The sequence below is a fragment of the Homo sapiens genome, chromosome 22 (assembly GCF_000001405.40).
Source record: "Homo sapiens chromosome 22, GRCh38.p14 Primary Assembly".
NCBI classification, from domain to species: domain Eukaryota; kingdom Metazoa; phylum Chordata; class Mammalia; order Primates; family Hominidae; genus Homo; species Homo sapiens.
The window spans coordinates 30,037,900-30,057,056 of NC_000022.11; the positions used below are offsets into that span (position 1 = coordinate 30,037,900).

Here is a 19,157-nt window from a genome sequence, read left to right on the forward strand (position 1 = left end):
CCTTTAGTCTTTGATATTCACATCATCCCCCTAGGAAACACCTAATTGGTTAGACATGTCACCTTCCCCTTCATTTGTTAATGGACCTACTCTCTGCGATCCTTATTTCCAATGGCTACACTCATCTGAGCAGTTTGCCAACACATTCACCAACTATGTGAAATTCTGCATATTTTACAAAACTTAAATTGTACTTTGGTGCCTGTTTTGTTGTATTTTCAACATCTCACAATCCGTAACAGGGAAGTTGGGCTATGGTGGATGGAGAGTATGTTAAGGAGGAAGAGATGTTTAAGTGGAGAGTGATTTTTCTAAGTGGTTGAGTTGTGTAGAGAATACTCTTCATGTCTGATGACTTTAGCTTTCTCCACAACTAGTGGCTACAGGAACTTGGATACTGACTAGTTGGAGTTATAGCTCAGAGGAAGAAGAGAGTACATGTACATCTGAGCAGGGAGCCTGCCCCTTGGGGGATAGCAGTGACATCAACACATGGCAATATGATGACGTCAAGGTGAGCCAAGGCAAGTGGGCGGGTTTCAGGATCTGAGCCAGAGGGCATGGGTTAGCGAACAGGAAAGGCAGGAAATATTTGTTAAAAGCTTAGGCCAAAAAAGTCTCCTATGTCAGGCCAAACACTGGTCCCAATTCTATAGGTATTTGAGGTTTCTGAACAGAGAATGGAACAAGATGATAATAGTTAATATTTGTTATGGGCTAGGCACTGTCCAAATACTTTCCATGAGTAACACATTTAATTCTCCTATTAACCTGGTGAGGTACTGTGACAGCCTCATTTGAAACTAAGATGACTGAGCCAGTAGAGCTGTTAAGCCCCTTGCCCAAGGTCACCCAGAAAGTTGAAGCAGCTGAGCCATGGTTTGAATCTGGCCCCTCTGCCTCCTGAAATCACGCTCTCAACCGCTGCGCTACCCAGTCTCTCCTGGGCCCAGGATGAATGGAAGTGGGTGCTGGGAGGCGAGGCAAGATGAGGTGGAAAGAGCAGTAAGAGGCCACCTGCATGAAAAAGGCCTAAACCAGGGCAGAGAAGGGTTCAAGAGCAACTCCAAAGAACACTGAATGTTAAAGTACTAGTGCTGTTTCATTGGCTTTACACAGGACTGTTTCTTTCCAAAACTCAGTAAGTCATGCATGAAGCAATCACCAATGCAAGAATCAATCAGGGGCCGGGCGCGGTGGCTCATGCCTGTAATCCCAGCACTTTGGGAGGCCGAGGCAGGCAGATCATGAGGTCAGGAGATCGAGACCATCCTGGCTGACATGGTGAAACCCCGTCTCTACTAAAATACAAAACATTAGCCGGGCGTGGTGGCGGGCGCCTGTAGTCCCAGCTACTCGGAAGGCTGAGGCAGGAGAAAGGTGTGAACCCGTGGGGCGGAGCTTGCTGTGAGCCGAGATCGAGCCACTGCACTCCAGCCTGGGCGACAGAGCAAGACTCTGTCTCAAAAAAAAAAAAAAAAAAAAAGGAATCAGCTGCTCACTAAAATTAACTGTTTCAGCCGGGCATGGTGGCTCATGCCTATAATCCCAGCATTTTGGGAGGCTGAGGTGGGTGGATCACCTGGGGTCAGGAGTTCAAGACCAGCCTGACCAACATGGTGAAACCCCATCCCTACTAAAAATACAAAAATTAGCCGGGCATGGTGGCAGGCACCTGTAGTCCCAGCTACTTGGGCGGCTGAGGCGGGAGAATTGCTTGAACCTGGGAAGCGGAGGTTGTAGTGAGCAGAGATTGCACCATTGCACTCCAACCTGGGCAACAAGAGTAAAACTCTGTCTCAAAAAAATAAAAAATAACATAAAATTCACCGTTTCTCAGGAAGAGCTCCCTCAACTAAACAGCTTCCCTTCTAATGCAGGGACAAATTGGCATTTAAGATAAATTTGCAGCAGACACCAGGGGGGCTAATGATCCTATGATTGATTACACTATAGAAAATCAAACATGAAATGATGAAGCTAGAGCTCAGTATCTGCCTAGGCAAGTGCCTGCTTGTGCACAGCAGACAAAGCCCTGACCCAGTGTTGTGAGACCTGTATTCTAGCCCCCAGTCACTTACAGGGTAGGGGGTTGACCACTCTACTCTGCTTTAATTTCTCACCTATGGGGATATTTGTCCAGTCTGCCCATGGGACTGTTGAGGATCCAGTGAGGAAATAGATCATGTTTTACAAAGTCTGGCTGATCTACAGTGGAAAGAATGGTTCTGCCAAAGCTTGCACTTGAACATCTGTGACTGATTCCCAGCACCTTACCTGCGTTCCAGTATAGTCTCCATGGGAGGCAGCAGGAATCCTGCTTGTCTGCCATGCAGCCTGGCAGCTCCAAGGCAACAGCATCCCTCCTCTTACCCATATCTGCCAAACCCAAGAGAATAGGGAAATATGTCAGGTCTCTCAGGGTGTGGGAAGGACTCTAGGCCATCTCCAGCCAGGACAGTCCCCAACAAGAAATACCGGGGTTGGGGTGATGCCAGGGACAGGTTTTCTGGCAAGGATAGGAAGCTCTGCCCTGGGCTGCTGAAGTCTCCGAGAGATGGGCTCCATGGGTGGCCTTGCTTCCAGCACAGGCGAGGTCTAGGCAAGTGGTCAGCAGTGCAGAGCCCCTTCCTTCAGGGCTTCAGCCGCCTTACCTCCATGTGGGCCAGTGTCTGGATGTGCAGCCAGTGATCCCTGAACTTCCCAAATACAAACCTCTTGATGGATGCCCATCCTAGGAAAGGAGCGGCACCAGAGGTTGACTCTCTGGTCAATTTCTAGTATTTCCTCTGAGCCCCAAGGGCAGCATTGTGCAATAAGCTGCCTTGTCTGGCCTCTCTTGCTGTGCCCATACCTACTAAACCCCCCGATTATGGCCTTGCGGGGAGTGTTCCCGTCCAGTCTCAGAGTAGGAGCACACGTGGAGGCCCTTTCCTCTGTGGTACCCTCAACCCTGCTCTGCACTTCAGTAGTCCTGCTTGACCCACAGATCCCTCCCACCTTCTGCGCCCCCCATGCCCAGGGCTGCTTCTGTTGCTTCCCTCACCTTCCCTTCCAGCCCAGACTCCCACTCCCCTGCAAGCCATCCAGAAGAAGTCTCACACTAAGTCGTGGAAAATGCACAAGCCAGAAACAGCACAACTGTCCAACCACAGGGCAAGGAATAAGGAACTTGTGAAAGTTAGCCACAAACATAACATGGCAACGAATCAAAGTCGTTACATACAGCCACATGGACAAATCTCACAGAATATTGAGTGGAAAAAAGAATAAAATATATGCAGTATGATTCCATTTTTGAGAAGTTCAAAACCAGGCAAAACAAAACTATTCTTTGGGGGTGCGAGAACATGGTAACTACAAAAGCCGAGGTCCCGGTGGTCTCTAGGAGGATGTAGAGAACAGGTTGGGGAGGATCTAGAGTGCTAGGGATCTCCAGGTCTTGATTGGAGTAGTGGGTTTATAATTCAGCAACCCCTACAGATATGTTTGCTGTGCTTTCCTACATATATGTTATTTCATGAAGAAAAAAAAAAAACCCTAGCACCCCATCCCCCCACTCTGCCTTGACCGGCTCAGGGCACAAGCCCCCTAGTGTGCACACCTCTTACCCTGTTGGCCTCAGTGGGGAGCATTGGATGGGGAGCTTCCAGGGCCTGAGGACAAAGGGATGGCCCACCACTCAGAGGTCCCACCTTTATTCCTTCCTCTGGGGTGTCTCCCTGTCCCAGGTTGTCACATCCCAGCCCCAGCCCCACTGTGTTCTCTGCGGAGTTTGGCTGTGTTGACCTGGAGCACCCAGTTTCCTGGCTTCCTTGGGTGGCCTTACCTGACCTAGGTCTGTTTCTTACAGAGGGATCTGCTCTAATGAGCCATTCCAGTGCCCCAGGTTTAATTTAATATCTGGTGGGATAGTCTTGGTCTTCGTCATTTGTTTCTGTCACATGGTCACCTGCTCACTTACAGTTAGGGGAAAGCTTACAGGGAGTCATGCCTGGGAATGTTTGATTCTATGTGAGAATATCAGTCACATAGCAAGGTGAACTCTTACTCCGTGTCAGATGGACATTGGCCATGGAAACCAGGATCCTTGTCCTTATGGAGAGGAGTGCTGAGAGAAGACAGGGAAGTGTGATGAGGGCTGCAGAGCAGGTTGGCAGCCTGTGGGAACCTGCACTGAGCAAGTCAGACAAGGGAAGGAATGTTTCACTGAAGGCCTGAGGGATGGAGAGGGAACAAGAGGGAAGACACTCAGCCACGTCTTCATTTCCTTTAGCCCTGACAACCATGCTTTATGATAGGTATTATTATTCCCATTTTACAGATGTGGAAACTGAGGCACAGAGGGGTTAAAGAGCCCAGCCCAAGCTCACTCAGCTAACTTGTGGCAGAATGAGGACTTAAAACTCCAGTCTAGATGATTCAGAAGCTGTAAGCAAGGAGGCTGCTACCACAGTCATGGTCAGGAATGACGGTGGTTTCACTGGTTATGGAACAAGTAGATGTGTGGGCTCAAGAGAGGTACTAATGATAGAATTGATGTTCTATGGACTTAGGGGGGGATCAGTCAGAGACAACTCGCAGCTTCGGCCTTGATCAACTAGGAGGACTGATTCACATTCACCAAGATGAAGAAACGGGAAGAGCAGATTTGGAGGGAAAAAGGTCATTCATCTAAATTTGATACATTCTACTTCAGTTAAAAAAAAAAAAAAGAAAGAAATGGGTTGATTGAAAACAAAACAAGATGATTCCATGCCTAGAACTCCCGCTCTGTGCCACCCCTCCTTCAATCTCAGCATTCTCACACCCTTCGCCCTGCTTCCTTCCAGCGTCCTCATGTATACGTGTACCTCTGATCCTTGGGCCCTCCAATATCCAGTGCCAAGCAGATTGCATTTCAGAGAACCACCTAGACGACACTGTCCTTGGCCACACCATTCACCACCTCACCCGTGCTTTCTCCTGACCTTCTCAGGGTGGAGTTCCCTTGGTCTTTCTAGTCCTGAGACCATTCTCTGTGTGCAGAGCTGGCTTCATAGGTGTGCAGCCTCTGCAGTTACACACGACCCCACACTCAGAAGGGCCCACCTTCCGTTTAATGCTCCTCTGTTGCAGTCTTGAAATTACTAACATTAAACAAAGGACCCCACACTTTCATTTTTCACTAGGTCCCTCCCACAAATTATATAGTCGGTCCTGTATGTATGTCTGCAACATAATGAGGCAAACCAACGTGCGGCAGCCTTTCCCATCCGTGGCAGTGAACCTCATTTCCATCTAGGAAGTCCAACTTCTTCAAATCACAGGGAGACAAAGCAAAAAAAGGAGCTCAATTTTTTTTGTTTCTATGAAATACAGTTTTATGTGTAGTTTTATGTTTCTTCCTGATAATAATTTAGGAGGGAACCCTGAGGAACAGGATACAGAAATAACAAATTATGGGCCATTAACTGTGGCTAATTATTTCTTTATAGCTTAGAGTGGAGGCACATCTGAGTTGCTTTGGCACTCACAGTTACAGGAAGGGAGGGAGGGCAGCTTAAATACAATATAGAACCCGTGGGGAGACGAAGGGAGGAGCAATTTATTGCAGGTTCGGCATCCCCAATCCAGAATCTGAAACGTTTTGAGAACTGACATGCTCAAAGGAAATGTTCACTGGAGCATTTTGGATTTCAGATTTTCAGATTAGGGATGCTGAACTATTAAGGATAATGCAAATATTCCAAAATCCGAAAAAATAAAAAATCCAAAACACTTCTGGTCCCAGCATTTTGGATAAGGGACATTCAACCTGTAATCTCAGCCTAGCTTCTGAAGCATAAAAGCATAGCAGCAGACAAACATGCAAATAAACTTATGTCCAACCCAAAAGTCTAATATCTGGTTTGACTTTGTGGAAGAAAAGGATTTCCTGTTTCACAGAATCCTTTTGTTCCTTGCCCTTTTTACCCAGAGAGAGAGAGAGCTGCTTAGCATAAGTCATGGAAGGATGGCTGGGGACTATCAGAACCCTCAAGAGAAAGGTTTGTTGGTCTGGTTTATGCTGTATTTAGGAGAAGGCCCAGGACTGTTACTACAGTCAAGACTGGAACGAGGACTCAGGGCAGGGGTGGGGTGGGTAGTGGATGGAGAAAGAGGAGAGTAACCAGGAAGAGAAATGGGTACCCAGGTATCCTCTGAGGGTGACTCGAAAGAGAGATCAAAAAGCAACTGACTGTGAAAGTCAGGAATCACTTTTGCCATCACCGGAATCCATGAATGTTGAAGATCGACTGAGCAGGCTGTTTTCTTTCTGGTGATGGACAGTTCCTTCTAGATGCAGCAGAGGTACAATTCCATACTGTAATATGTTGGATAATGAGCCTTCAACTGGGTCTAAAATTAGGACTTTGACACACAAGAAAAATGTCTTCAGGCTTCAGGTTTTTGTTATCTGGTTTCTTTTGGATACTTTTAGCTCTTCGTCTATCCTCCAGAAAAGACCAAGCTGACCCACTCATTGTCAGCACAAAGAATGCTGTAAGGGTCACTGAAGACAAATCGTGCTGGTTTGGGAATAAGAAAAAAGAAGACAAACTCCTCTTGCCACAACTATGTGCTAGCCTAGAAGTGCACTTTAGTCATTTATTACCTCATTTGAATTGATCTATCATATGATCAACATGACTCACCGGTGCCTAGAGACTCTCTAACTTGTTTTTCCTGGCCCTGTGCCCTACTCAATACCCCACACCCCAGATTTACTCCTTATTACAGCTGGCTTGTGGGAAATGGGACTGGCCTGGGGTTCTCAAGAGTGGGCTGAGCTACCTCTCCAGTAGTGCTCTCGAAAGTGGCTATTGTTTCTGAACTGAGAGCTCTGCAATGAGCAGACACTGCATGGACTGTTCTTCTGAAGATTTAATTCCACATATATAGACATTGCCCAAGAAGGCTCTTCCTTTAGCATGGTTTGTATGCTCATGTTCCAGTCTTCTTATTTCCTACCTGGAGAACTCTTGCTCTTCATTGATCCATTAATTCTTGGTGTGCCAATTTGTGTTTCAGCTGTGCCAAAATGAAGGATCGGGATTATCTTCTAAACAAAAAGAATGACCTCCTTCTCCTGCGTCTAGGCCCTAAGGCATTTCCCTGCTCACTAATGGGATTAAGAATATTTTCATATGTTTATTGGCCATTGTGAATTTTTCTTTTTTCTTTTTTTTCTCTTCTTACAAACAGATGTTTTATTGCATTTGGTCCACAGTCGTATTTCACATTATCTCATGGAGCAGGGCCCCTGGGTGTGGGTCCCTGTGCAGTACTTGGTGGGGCATGTGGCCAGGGGAGATGGAGCAGTATAGCTGGTCAGGCCAAGAAAGGGAGAAGGAGGGCTGGGGGCTCTTTAAAACCTACTGAGAGGTCAGGCGCAGTGGCTCATGCCTGTATTCCCAGCACTTGGGGAGGCTGCAGCAGGCAGATCACCTGAGGCCAGGAGTTTGAGACCAGCCTGGCCAACATGGTGAAACCCTGTCTCTACTAAAAATACAAAATTTAGCCAGGTGTGGTGGAGCACCTGCAGTCCCAGCTACTTGGGAGGCTGAGGCAGGAGAATCCCTTGAGCCCAGGAGGTGGAGGTGCTGTGAGCACGCCACTGCACTCCAGGCTGGGCAACAACAACAACAAAACCTACTGAGGTCACAGTGTGGGGAGTTAGCATAGAGAGGGGGTCAGGCTTAGCCCTAACAACTCAGAATTCCACTTCCTTGTACAGGCCTCACTTTCCCCACCGAGCCCTGGGGCAGGTCTGAGGGTCTGAGGTCTGTTGGTCTGAGGGTCCTAGGGAAATCCAGCCACTTGGGAGCCTGAGATATTTAGTATCGTGGCCAGGCCCCCTTTCCCAAGGGACTTATTTCCCAGCACCCTCTCCACTGTCCCTGCCCCATTCCTCGGAAAAAAAAAAAATGTATTTTTCTTTTGTTAATACTTCCTGAAGCTTTAGCAGGTACAGAAACCACAAACTGATCAGCTGACAAAAGGGAGAAAAGGAGAGGCAACTGGAAACCTTCGGGGACCAGTTCCCTCCAAGCCCAGGTCTCTTCTCCCCAGCACAGCTTGGCCCACAGCCTGGACATGCCAACAGGGACCCTCACCCTACACTTAGCGGGATATGGCCTTGACTCCTTCCCCCACAGCCTGGTGGCTCAGTCCTGCGAAGGACCAAGGCAAAGGGGAAAGAAGCCCTGCTGCCTGATCCCATGCTGCCACTCACAGACCCTCGGTTGATTGGCAGCACTGAACAGGTTAAGAGGAAAAAGACATGAAAACACAGAAAAACCCAAAAACCCAGACGGGGAGATGATGTGGGGAGAGAGCATGCTGGCAGACTTCATAGTCAGCTTCCTCCTGGTAGTAAGGGGGATATTCAGGGACCTCCCCGGGGCCCAGGCAGTCGCCGGCGCCTGAGGGAGCCCCCACTGTGCCTTGCGGGCAGTACTTGGGGTCGTATATCTGCTGGCCCAGGCCAAGACCTGGCTACTCTGGTTGGTGTCCTATGTCTAACCCATCTGCAGGGATATGGAGGAGTTACCACACTTGTCGGTTCCCAGCTTGGTGTCAGAGATGTGCCGCTGCGTCCCAGGAGCCGTCATGGCCACCTGGCTGACACACTTGTTTATACGCATCTGGACACTGATGATGGAGTGGTCCATGGGGGGCAGGATGTAGTTGTTGGGGTCGTAGAAATGCCTCCTCATGCCGTATGCGGTCATCCCTGACTGGCTGGCGCATTTGTTGGTGCCCATCTGCAGCCCGAGGATGCACTGGCCAGCCTTCAAGGGGGGTTGTCACAGTTCCACTCCTGCTTCTCCAAGTACTTGATGCCAGTGTCCACCCTGCTCTGCAGCTCCTTAGTCTTGGCCTTCCTCACCAGGGCGAGAAGAGACACCTGCAGCTGTGTCATACTTCTACTCTCAAACAGGTCGTTGGCCTCGAACAGGTCCATGGGGTTCATCCGTAGCTGACCATGGCCTTGATGAAGTTGGAGAGGTTTTCTAGCTGGTGCCAGTTCTGCATGGAGTGATTGATCTTGGGGACTGAGCCTGGCTGTAGCTTGTTCATGAGTGCGCATAAGATAATCCCGTCCTTCAGGCCCTTCTGGAAGTCGGGACCGATGAAGAGTCCTGTGAGTCCCTTGATCCAGCTGTGGAGCTCTGCCTCCTTCTGGGGGTCATATTTGGACAGAAGCTGGTTCTTGACCTCAGCCCACAGCCCATATGAGGGGCCCTTGTTGAACTGCGTGGAGCTCATGGCTGGCAGACACGGCGGCGGGATGGGACCGGACAGGACGGGACAGTACCCGTGAATTTTTCATTCTTATCTGCCCACTTTTATTGGGTTGCTTTTTCTTACTGGTTTATAAAAGCCATTATATATTGGAGCTTTGAACTTTTTATTAAATGTAATATAATCCCAGGCTGTCACTTGTTTAAACTGAATTTTTTAGTGGCATCTTTGTCAGTTACTAAGCTACTGTCTCTCGGCTTCCAACCTGCCCTTCTATATTCAGGTCTGGGATGCTGGAACTGAAACTGAAACTATAGTCCTCCTTAGCCAGCTGGCCTTCTGATAGGTCCCGCCAACAAGGGGAGCTAGAGAGAGACTCGAAGCCAGGAGGAGGGTAGAAGGAGTTGCTCCTTCCTGTTTTGCTTGATGCTTCAGTCAGTGTTGTTCCAGCATTGGCTTCTTACCATGAAGGTAGCACTTGGTTCCAGTTTCCAGCCTCTTGCAGCAGTCCCAGAATGATCCTCATTCCAACCCTTGGTGGTAACAGCCAGGTTATATCTGTGGTAGGCAGAATAATGGCTCTCCAAAGACATCCATGTTCTCATTCCCGGAACCTGTTGAATATGTTATCTTAAATTGCAAAAGGGACCTTGCAGATGGGATTAAGATGAGGACTTTGAGATGGGAGATTATCCTAGGTAGTCTGGGTAGGACCAATGTCATCACAAGGGTCCTTACAAGCCTAAGAGGAGAGCAGAAGGGTTAGTGTCAGAGTGATGTGATGTGTAAAGGACTCAACCAGCCATTAAAGAGGAAAGAAGGAATCATAAGCCAAAGAAGGTGGGCAGCCTCTAGAAGCTGGAAAAGGCAAGAAAATGGATTATCTCCAAGGGCCTCCAGAAAGGAACACAGTCCTGCTGGCACCTTGATTTTGCTCAGTGAGTTCAGCCAAGAATGGCTGTTGAGGTGCTGGAGAGCAGTGACCCCAGGGGCCCTGAGTTCTAGTATGATTCTGCCATTAACTAGCTGGCTTTGGAGACAACGTGGCCCCACCCTGAGCCTCAGTTTCCTTACTCACTGTATGCTGGGCACCATTATCTCACAAAACAAAGTGGGTGTTGATATTTCTCATCCCCAATGGCTTTAAAGAGGGAAATGGAATAATTAGATGTGTGCTTCAGAAAGATCACTTGGGCTGCGGTATTAAAAAATGGTTGGCTCTTTATTCTCATCCATGTTTGTCAAAAATCTTACCCATCTTTCAAGACTTGGTTCACATCTTCTGTCTTCCACAAGTCCCCTCCCCACCCTGCCTGACCTCTTAGTTGGAGTCATTATCTACCTGGCACTCCCCACAAAGCAAAGAACTACATATACTGTAAATCCCTTGAAATTGGACATCACGTGTTTCATCCACATGTGCTCCACCGGGCTAGGTCCATGCCAGGACTGATAAATGTGTGCAGAATTATCCTCTGCACTGAAAAACCATTTTCGTGGGACAGAGGAAGAAATAATGGAGCCACTCAATACTTGTTGGGGACTCAAGCCTTCTTTTGATAAGGGAGTTTATCTGCAGGCCTCAAGGGGTGTACAATTAAGCACTGCAGGATGTATTTCCCCTAGCTCTGAAAGGTTCTGATCTGCCTTGAGTACTAATGTTGAAAAGGACTGTCTGGGAAACAGGCCCTGAGGTCAGCTTGGTTTATTGTCACTAGGCTTTAATCATATCCTGCAACTTGGAACCCTGAGAGGGTTCTTTTCACCTTGCACAATACGATGTGAGCTTTGCCGAGCTGCACCATTGATAAATGGGAAAGAGCAATAGTGACCTGCTTTCTCTTTTGAGACTTTTGCCCATTAAATATATTCTTCCTTAGATCCAAGCAATTCAATAGTATGGAAATAAAAAACTTTTGTTGAATACCTGTTCTACTGTTTGAAGAGCAGTCCTCCTGTTTCATAATTTAGAATAACTTGAAGAAAAAAACCAAAATATCTATTATTATCTAAGAAAAGACTGGAAAATTTTTGTGACTTCTATAGAGTCTGTAACCAAGAACAGTATACCTAAGAAATCCAGAGATTTCCCAAATAATTTTTTTTTTTTGAGACAGGGTCTCACTTTGTCACCTAGGCTTGAGTGCAGTGGCATGAACATGGCTCACCACAGCCTTGACTCCCTGGGCTCAAGTGATCTTCCTGCCTCAGCTTCCCTAGTAGCTGGCACCACAGCTACAGGTGCACACCACCACACCTGGCTAATTAAAAAATTTGTTTTGGTAGAGATGGGGAGTTGCCATGTTGCCCAGCCTGGTCTTGAACTCCTGGGTTCAAGCAATCCTCCTGCCTTGGCCTCCCAAAGTGCTGGGATTACAGACCTGAGCCACCATGCCTGGTCCCAAATAAATTTACAAAGAATTTCATTGGGGATTAGTTAAAATATTCTGGGATTAATTTTTATTAATGTATTATTATTATTCTACCACACTGCCTCTGGTGGTGTGGTGGGGACAGAGCTTGATTGAAAAGAAACAGCCGGGTGCGATGGCTCATGCCTGTAATCCCAGCACTTTGGGAGGCTGAGGCGGGCGGATCACGGAGTCAGGAGATTGAGACCATCCTGGCTAACACGGTGAAACCCTGTCTCTACTAAAAATACAAAAAATTAGCTGGGTGTGGTGGCGGGCGCCTGTAGTCCCAGCTACTCGGGAGGCTGAGGCAGGAGAATGACATGAACCCAAGAGGCGGAGCTTGCAGTGAGCTGAGATCTCGCCACTGCGCTCCAGCCTGGGCAACAGAGCAAGACTCCGTCTCAAAAAAAAAAAAAAAAAAAGAAACAGAGAACTTTCTGTAGTGACAGTCATACTTTATAATTGGATGCAGGGGCCGGTCACAGTGGCTCACGCCTGTAATCCTAGCACTTTGGGAGGCTGAGGAGGGCGGATCACCTGAGGTCAGGAGTTCAAGACTATCTTGGCCAATATGGTGAAACCCTGTCTCTACAAAAAATATAAAAATTAGCCAGGCAGAGTGGTGCACGCCTGTAATCCCAGCTACTGGGGAAGCTGAGGCAGGAGAATTGCTTGAACCTGGAAGGTGGAGGTTGCAGTGAGCTGAGATTGCGCCACTGCACTACAGCTTGGGCGACAGAGCAAGACCCTGTCTCAAAAATAAAAAAAAATTGGATGCAAGATACATATGTGAATACATTTGTCAAGGCAAAGACTAATTCCAACAGCAAATTATGGTGATATTATATGTAAGAGAGTAGAGAGTGATGGAGGTTACCTTGAAATGGAGCTCAGCCCCTGCCATGCTCACGTGTTCTGTAGCTTCCACTACTGGCCTATTTATGGCCTCCATTGCAGAGGGCCAGGCTGAGAGGAAAAGATGTCCTGCTCTCCAAAGCTGTTGAACCTGGAAAATATAGGGGAGGCAGAGGTAGAACTGTGGCAAATGAGAAAGGTACTAGGAAGCGGTATAAAAAATAGTAGCTAACATGAACCCCATTCTACGTGTGGGTATTTTATTTCTTTTCTAGAAAAATGCAAAAAAAGTAGCCTGCAGGGGGGCAGATCAGAGCAGCAGTTCCCAATGTGTGGTGAGGAGGGACCCTACAGGCTCTGAGACTCATTCAGATGGTCATGAGGTCTAAATTATTTTAATAATAATAATAGGCCGGGTGCGGTAGCTCACTCTTGTAATCCCATCACTTTGGGAGGCTGAGATGGGAGGATCACTTGAGGTCAGGAGTTCGAGACCAGCCTGATCAACATGGTGACACCTCATCTCTACTCAAAACATGAAAATTAGCCAGGCGTGGTGGCGGGCGCCTGTAGTTCCAGCTACTAGGGAGGCTGAGGCAGGAGAATAACTTGAACCTGGGAGGACAGCTTGTAGTGAGCTGAGATTGTGCCACTGCACTCCAGCCTGGGTGACAGAGCGAGACTCCATCTCAAAAAAAAAAAAGGAAAATAATAATAATAATAATAACCCGTTATTTGTCTTTTCATTTGCTTTCTCTTTCAAGTATACAGTGGAGTTTCCAAACACTGAGTGACATGTGAGAGCTTAAAAAATTAAATGCAGAAGTTGATTTAAGAATCCAGCTGTCTTCTTTTGAGCCAGACATTAAAGAAATTTACAAAGATGTAAAACAATGACATTCTTCCCATTATCGTTTTGTTTTAGACAATGTAGTTATTTTTCATTTAAATGTTATGTTAATGTGTAATGAGTTTATTAGTGTTATTTCTAAATGAGTTAAATATTTTAAAGTTTCTCTATTTTGGGCTGGGTGTGGTGGCTCACACCTGTAATCCCAGCACGTTGGGAGGCCAAGGTGAGTGGATTACTTGAGGTCAGGAGTTCAAGACCAGCCTGGCCAACATGCAAAACCCTGTCTCTACTAAAAATGCAAAAATCAGCCAGGTGTGGTGCCACACGCCTGTAATCCCAGCTACTTGGGAGGCTGAGGCAGGAGAATTGCTTGAGACTAGGAGGCGGAGATTGCAGTGAGCTGAGATCGCGCCACTGCACTCCAGCCTGGGTGAAAGAGCAAGACTCTATCTCAAAAAAATAAAATAAAATAAAAATAAAGTTTGTCCATTTCAATTTATAATATGGTAATTTTTTTTTTTTTTTTAAACAGGGTCTTACTCTGTCACTCAGGCTAAAGTGCAGTGGTGTGATCAGAACTCACTGCAGTCTCAAACCCCTGGGCTCAAGTGATTCTCCTGCCTCAGCCTTGTGACCAGCTGGGAGTATAGGCACACACCTTCGTGCTTAGCTAATTTTTACATTTTTTGTAGAGATGGGCTTTCACTATGTTGATAGGCTGGTCTGGAATTCCTGCGCTCAAGTGATCCTCCTGCTTCAGCCTTCCAAAGTGCTGGGATTAGAGGTTTGAGCCACTGTGCCTTGCTAATATGATAAAATGTGATAGCTGTTAAATAAACACAGGATTTTTAGGGGTCCATAGTAATTTTTTTTATTAAAAGTGTTTTAAAAGTGAGGTATAATTTATATACAGTAAAATGCACAAGTCTTAAATGTACAACTCAATTAATTTTTACGTATGTATACACCATGAAACCTTCACCCACTTCAACATACAGACCATTTCCTTCACCCTGGAAGGACCCTTGCACCTTATTGAATCAATACCTAGTCCTCCGGAGGTAACCATTATTCTGATTTCTACCACCATAGATTAGTTTTGCTTGATTTTGAATGTCATATGAATGGAATCATATACTTTTTTGTTTGGCTTTTTTTTTTTTAATCTCAGCATAAAGTTTTTGAGATTCATCCATGCTGTTCTGCATATTACAACATTTTTTTACTTTTATTATTGCTGGTGATATTCCATTCTCTGATTATATCACAAACTGTTCTATGTTTTTCTTGATGGATATTTGGATTTTGTCAAGTTTTTGGCTATTAGTAATTAAGTGGCTATGAATATTCTTGTATAAGACTTTTGGTGGACATATAAACTAATTTTTCTTGAGCATATTCCTGGATGTGGAATTGCTGGGTCCTATAGTTGGCTTTATAAGAAACTGCTGGCCAGGTGCAGTGGCTCACACCTGTAATCCCAGCACTTTGGGAGGCCGAGATGGGTGGATCACTTGAGCTCAGGAGTTTGAGACCAACCCGGCAAACATGGTGAAGCCCCGTCTCTACTAATAATACAAAAATTAGCCGGGCATGGTGGTACACTCCTGTAATCTCAGCTACTCGAGAGGCTGAGGCACAAGAATCACTTGAACCCAGGAGGTGGAGTTTGCATTAAGCTGAGATTGCAACACTACACTCCAGCCTGGGTGACAGAGTGAAACTGTGTCTCAAAAACAAACAAACAAACAAAAAACGAAACAAAGGCCAGGCGTGGTGGCTCATGCCTGTAATCCCAGCACTTTGGGAGGCTAAGGTGGGCGGGTCACCTGAGGCCAGGAGTTCGAGACCAGCCTGGACAACATGGTGAAACCCCATCTCTACTAACAATACAAAAATTAGCCAGGTGTGGTAGCACATGCCTGTAATCCCAGCCACTTGGGAGGCTGAGGCAGGAGAGTTGCTTAAACCCGGGAGGCAGAGGTTGCAGTGAGCTGAGCTCACCACTGCACTCCAGCCTGGGCGACAGAGTGAGACTCTGTCTTGGAAAAAAAAAAAAGAAAAAGAAAAAGAAAAGATCGATAATACTAAGTGGTGATGAGCATGAGTAACAATTGGAAATCTCATACATTGCTGGTAGAAATACAAAATGGTAAAGCCATTTGGAAAAACAATAGGCAATCTCTTATAAACATACTCGTCCATTTGACATAGCAATCCTATTTTTAGGTATTTATCCAAGAGAAATGAAAGCATATCCATACAAACACCCGAATGTGAATGCTCATAGTAGCCTAATTCAAAGTAGCCCTAAACTAGAAACAATCCAAAAGTCTAACAACTGGTGCATGGATAAACAAATTGTGGCCCATCCACATAATGGAAAGCTACCCAGCAATGGAAAGGAACAAACAAGTGATACATGCAACAACATGGATGAATCTCAAAAGCACTGTGGTCAGTTGAAAAAAAAAAAAGGCAAACACAAAGGAGTACATACCATATGATTCCACTTATATGACATTCTAGAAAAGGCAAAACTATAGGGACAGGAAACATCAATGGTTGCCAGGGACTGTGGGTGAGGAGAGGAGACTTGACTATAAAGGAACATGAGGAAATTTTTCAGGGTGACAGAAATGTTCTGTATCTTGATATGGTGGTGATTACATGATTGTATACATTTGCCAAAACTCACAGAATTATATACTTATAAAGGGTGAATTTTACTATATATAAATTATGCCTCAATAGACCTGACTTTTAAAAATAAACATTTCAAAAATTAAGACAAAACCCCTCAAAAAGTCATTACCTTGCAAACAAAAAGAATTCCTTTTAAGCACGGCCTGACACAGAATGATGTGTTCGGTGAGACAAACTGGAAGCAACGAGAAAGAAAACAATACCTCCTAGGTACATGAGGTCCCACTTATATTTTGAAGGCTGGAGAGACCTATGCCAAGGCTGTAGCTCAACGCATGAACGTATTTATCTTCGAGTCTTTGTACTTTCCTAGCACTTAGCAAATGATAAGCATTCATTAAATGTTTGTTCGAATGAACTTTTGTTTTGGCTGCTGAGAGACATGTGGCCTAATTGCTGTAGTGGTTATGACAATTTGGCTAGCTCCATGTGAATGATTTGAACTATGTCAAGAGTGCCCAAGACCACCCTCAGGTTCAGTAATTCACTAGGAGTCATAGGACTCTGTTAAACTTATGGTTATGGTTTATTATAGTGAAAGGATACAGATTCGAATTAGCAAAGGGAAAAGGCACATAAGGCAAAGCCCAGGAGAAACCAGGCATAAGCTTTCAGCTGTCCTCTACTAGTCTCACAGACAGTGTTTAATGCTCTGAGTAATGATGTTTGACACCGTGCAAATTGTTGCCAACCAGGGAAGCTCACTTCAGTCTCGGTGTTCAGGATTTTAACTGGAGGCAGTCATATAGGTATGCAGCCCCTGTGTAAATGACCTTAGCTGTCAATCTCCAGCTGCACAGGTCAAATTGACACTGTGTGGTCCAGGATTTCAGGCATACAAAAATAGGCATTCACCATAAATCACATTGTTAGCATAATCTACCTGGACAAACAGATGCAGTGTGGCCCAAGGCCTCAGGCATACAAAGACACTCTTATCAGGCAGGATATTTCAAGCTTCAGAAGTTATCTCCCAGAAGCTGGTCAAGGGCCAGGCCATTATTTGGAATATGCAGGGCTTAAGTAACCCAAGCCTGCTGATTTAATGCTTTACTGCACAGACTGTATCAAGATTTTTAAACCAGGCTTCGTGAATAGCTATATATTCATGTGCATGTGAGGGCATATAATTCTCTCAAAATTCATATCTCATAATTTCTGTTTGTGTATTTTTTCTAGGTAAAAGATGTTTCACAGCTTTTGTCAGATTGTCAAATATCCCGCAACTCAGAAAGATTAAGAATCTGGAGGGATGTCAGCAAGAGAGTGGAATAGGAAGCCACAGACCTTGGTCCCCTAAAGAAACACTGGGCTGGGCATGGCGGTTCACACCTGTAATCCCAGGACTTTGAGAGGCTGAGGTGGGAGGATTGCTTGAGCCCAGAAGCTCAAGACTGGCCTGGGCAACATAGTGAGACTCATCTCTACAAAAAAATTTAAAAATAAAAAACTAGCCAGGCATGGTGGTGAATGCCTGTAGTCCTAGCTACTTGTGAGGCCGAGGGAGGAGAATCGCTTGAGCCCAGGAGTTCAACCCTGCAGTGAGCTATGATTGTGCCATTGCACTCCAACCTGGGTGACAGAGTGAGACCCTGTCACTAAAAAATACATAGACACTTACTTAACAATAACATACAGTTTAAAAAGCCTTTATGAGAACTCCAAAACTCAAGTAAGAAGTCACAGAGGCCGGGCACAGTCGCTCACACCTGTAATCCTAGCACTTTGGGAGGCTGAGGTGGGTGGATCACCTGAGGTCAGGAGTTCAAGACCAGCCTGGCCAACATGGTGAAACCCCATCTCTACTAAAAATACAAAAATTAGCCAGGCGTGGTGGTGCATGCCTGTAATCCCAGCTACTTGGGAGGCTGAGGTAGGAGAATCGCTTGAACCCAGGAGGTGGAGGTTGCAATGAGCCAAGGTCGTGCCACTGCACTCCAGCCTGTGCAATGGGAGCGAGACTCCATCTCAAAAAAAAAAAAAAAAAAAGAAGTCACAGTACCCCAGGCAAGTGCAAAGCCAAAAACAGCTGCATGGAAACAGGTAAGAAGCCATTGCCTTCACTCATGATAGTCCTTTCTCCACAAGCCAGCACAGCTCAGTGTAATCATAAAAAAATGCCCAACTCATGGCTTCTTCCATGGGAGGGAATGAAAAGAATGGAATTTACATCTAATGTTCCAGCTTTTTGGGGAAACTACCCAAGGGACTGGTTTCTGTTTTGTGTGACTCTGAATGCTGACAGAGAACTAGCATACTTTGGATACATGAGGGCCCTTGAGACAGCTCAGCAGCTTGTTGCAGCACCAGAAAACCTGCAGTACTGAAAACAGACAATGGAAGCAGCAAGAAATTATGAGCTCCTGATAAAAACCAGCAAACTTTTCTAATTGGGAAATTATATGCACAAGCCCGGAGAGATGCATCCCCAGAAAAGGTTTGAGAGGCCCACAGAATCTCTAGCTGGACTGATTGATGAAGTTCTTCCGCTGTATGAAGCCGGTCTATAAAGACTGGGAGAAGTTGCTGTTTTTACAAATGCTTAAATTCCAACAAGAATTAATAAGACATATGAAGAAACAGGGAAACATGGCCCAATCAAAGGATCAAAGTAAATCACCAGAAACTGATCCTAAAGAAATAGAAGCCAGCCAGGCATGGTGGCTCACACCTATAGTCCCAGCTACTTGAGAGGCTAAGGTGGGAGGATCCCTTGAGCCTGGGAGGCAGAGGTTGCAGTGAGCCAAGATCATGCCACTGCACTCCAGCTTGGGCAACAGAGTGAGACCCTGTCTCAAAAAAAAAAAAAAAAAAAAAAAAAAAAAGGATACAGTAACTAAAGAAAATAATTCACTAGAAAAGTTCAGCAGCAGACTTGATCAAGCAGAAGCAAGAATCAGCAAAGTTAAAGACAGGTCATTTAAAATGATCAAGTGAGAGGAGCAAAAGAGGAAAAGAATAAAGAAAAATGAACAAAGCCTAAGGAACTTATGGAACACCATCAAGTAGGCCAATATATGCATTAGGGAAGTTCCAGAAGGAGAAGGGAGAGAGAAGAG

The 19,157-nt window shown here is 45.8% G+C and overlaps 1 long non-coding RNA gene and 1 pseudogene across 1 annotated transcript in view; both read right to left on the reverse strand.

Moving 5' to 3' along the window:
• Positions 1-19,157, reverse strand: part of HORMAD2-AS1 (HORMAD2 and MTMR3 antisense RNA 1) — a 71,512-nt gene that overhangs the window by 29,154 nt on the left and 23,201 nt on the right. The window contains exons 2-3 of the long non-coding RNA NR_110541.2: positions 12,562-12,690; positions 2,278-2,379 (exon numbers count right to left, since the gene is read on the reverse strand). This is a non-coding gene — a long non-coding RNA (HORMAD2 and MTMR3 antisense RNA 1). The remainder of the gene's footprint in view (positions 1-2,277; positions 2,380-12,561; positions 12,691-19,157) is intronic.
• CNN2P1 (calponin 2 pseudogene 1) lies at positions 8,177-9,343 on the reverse strand (annotated as a pseudogene).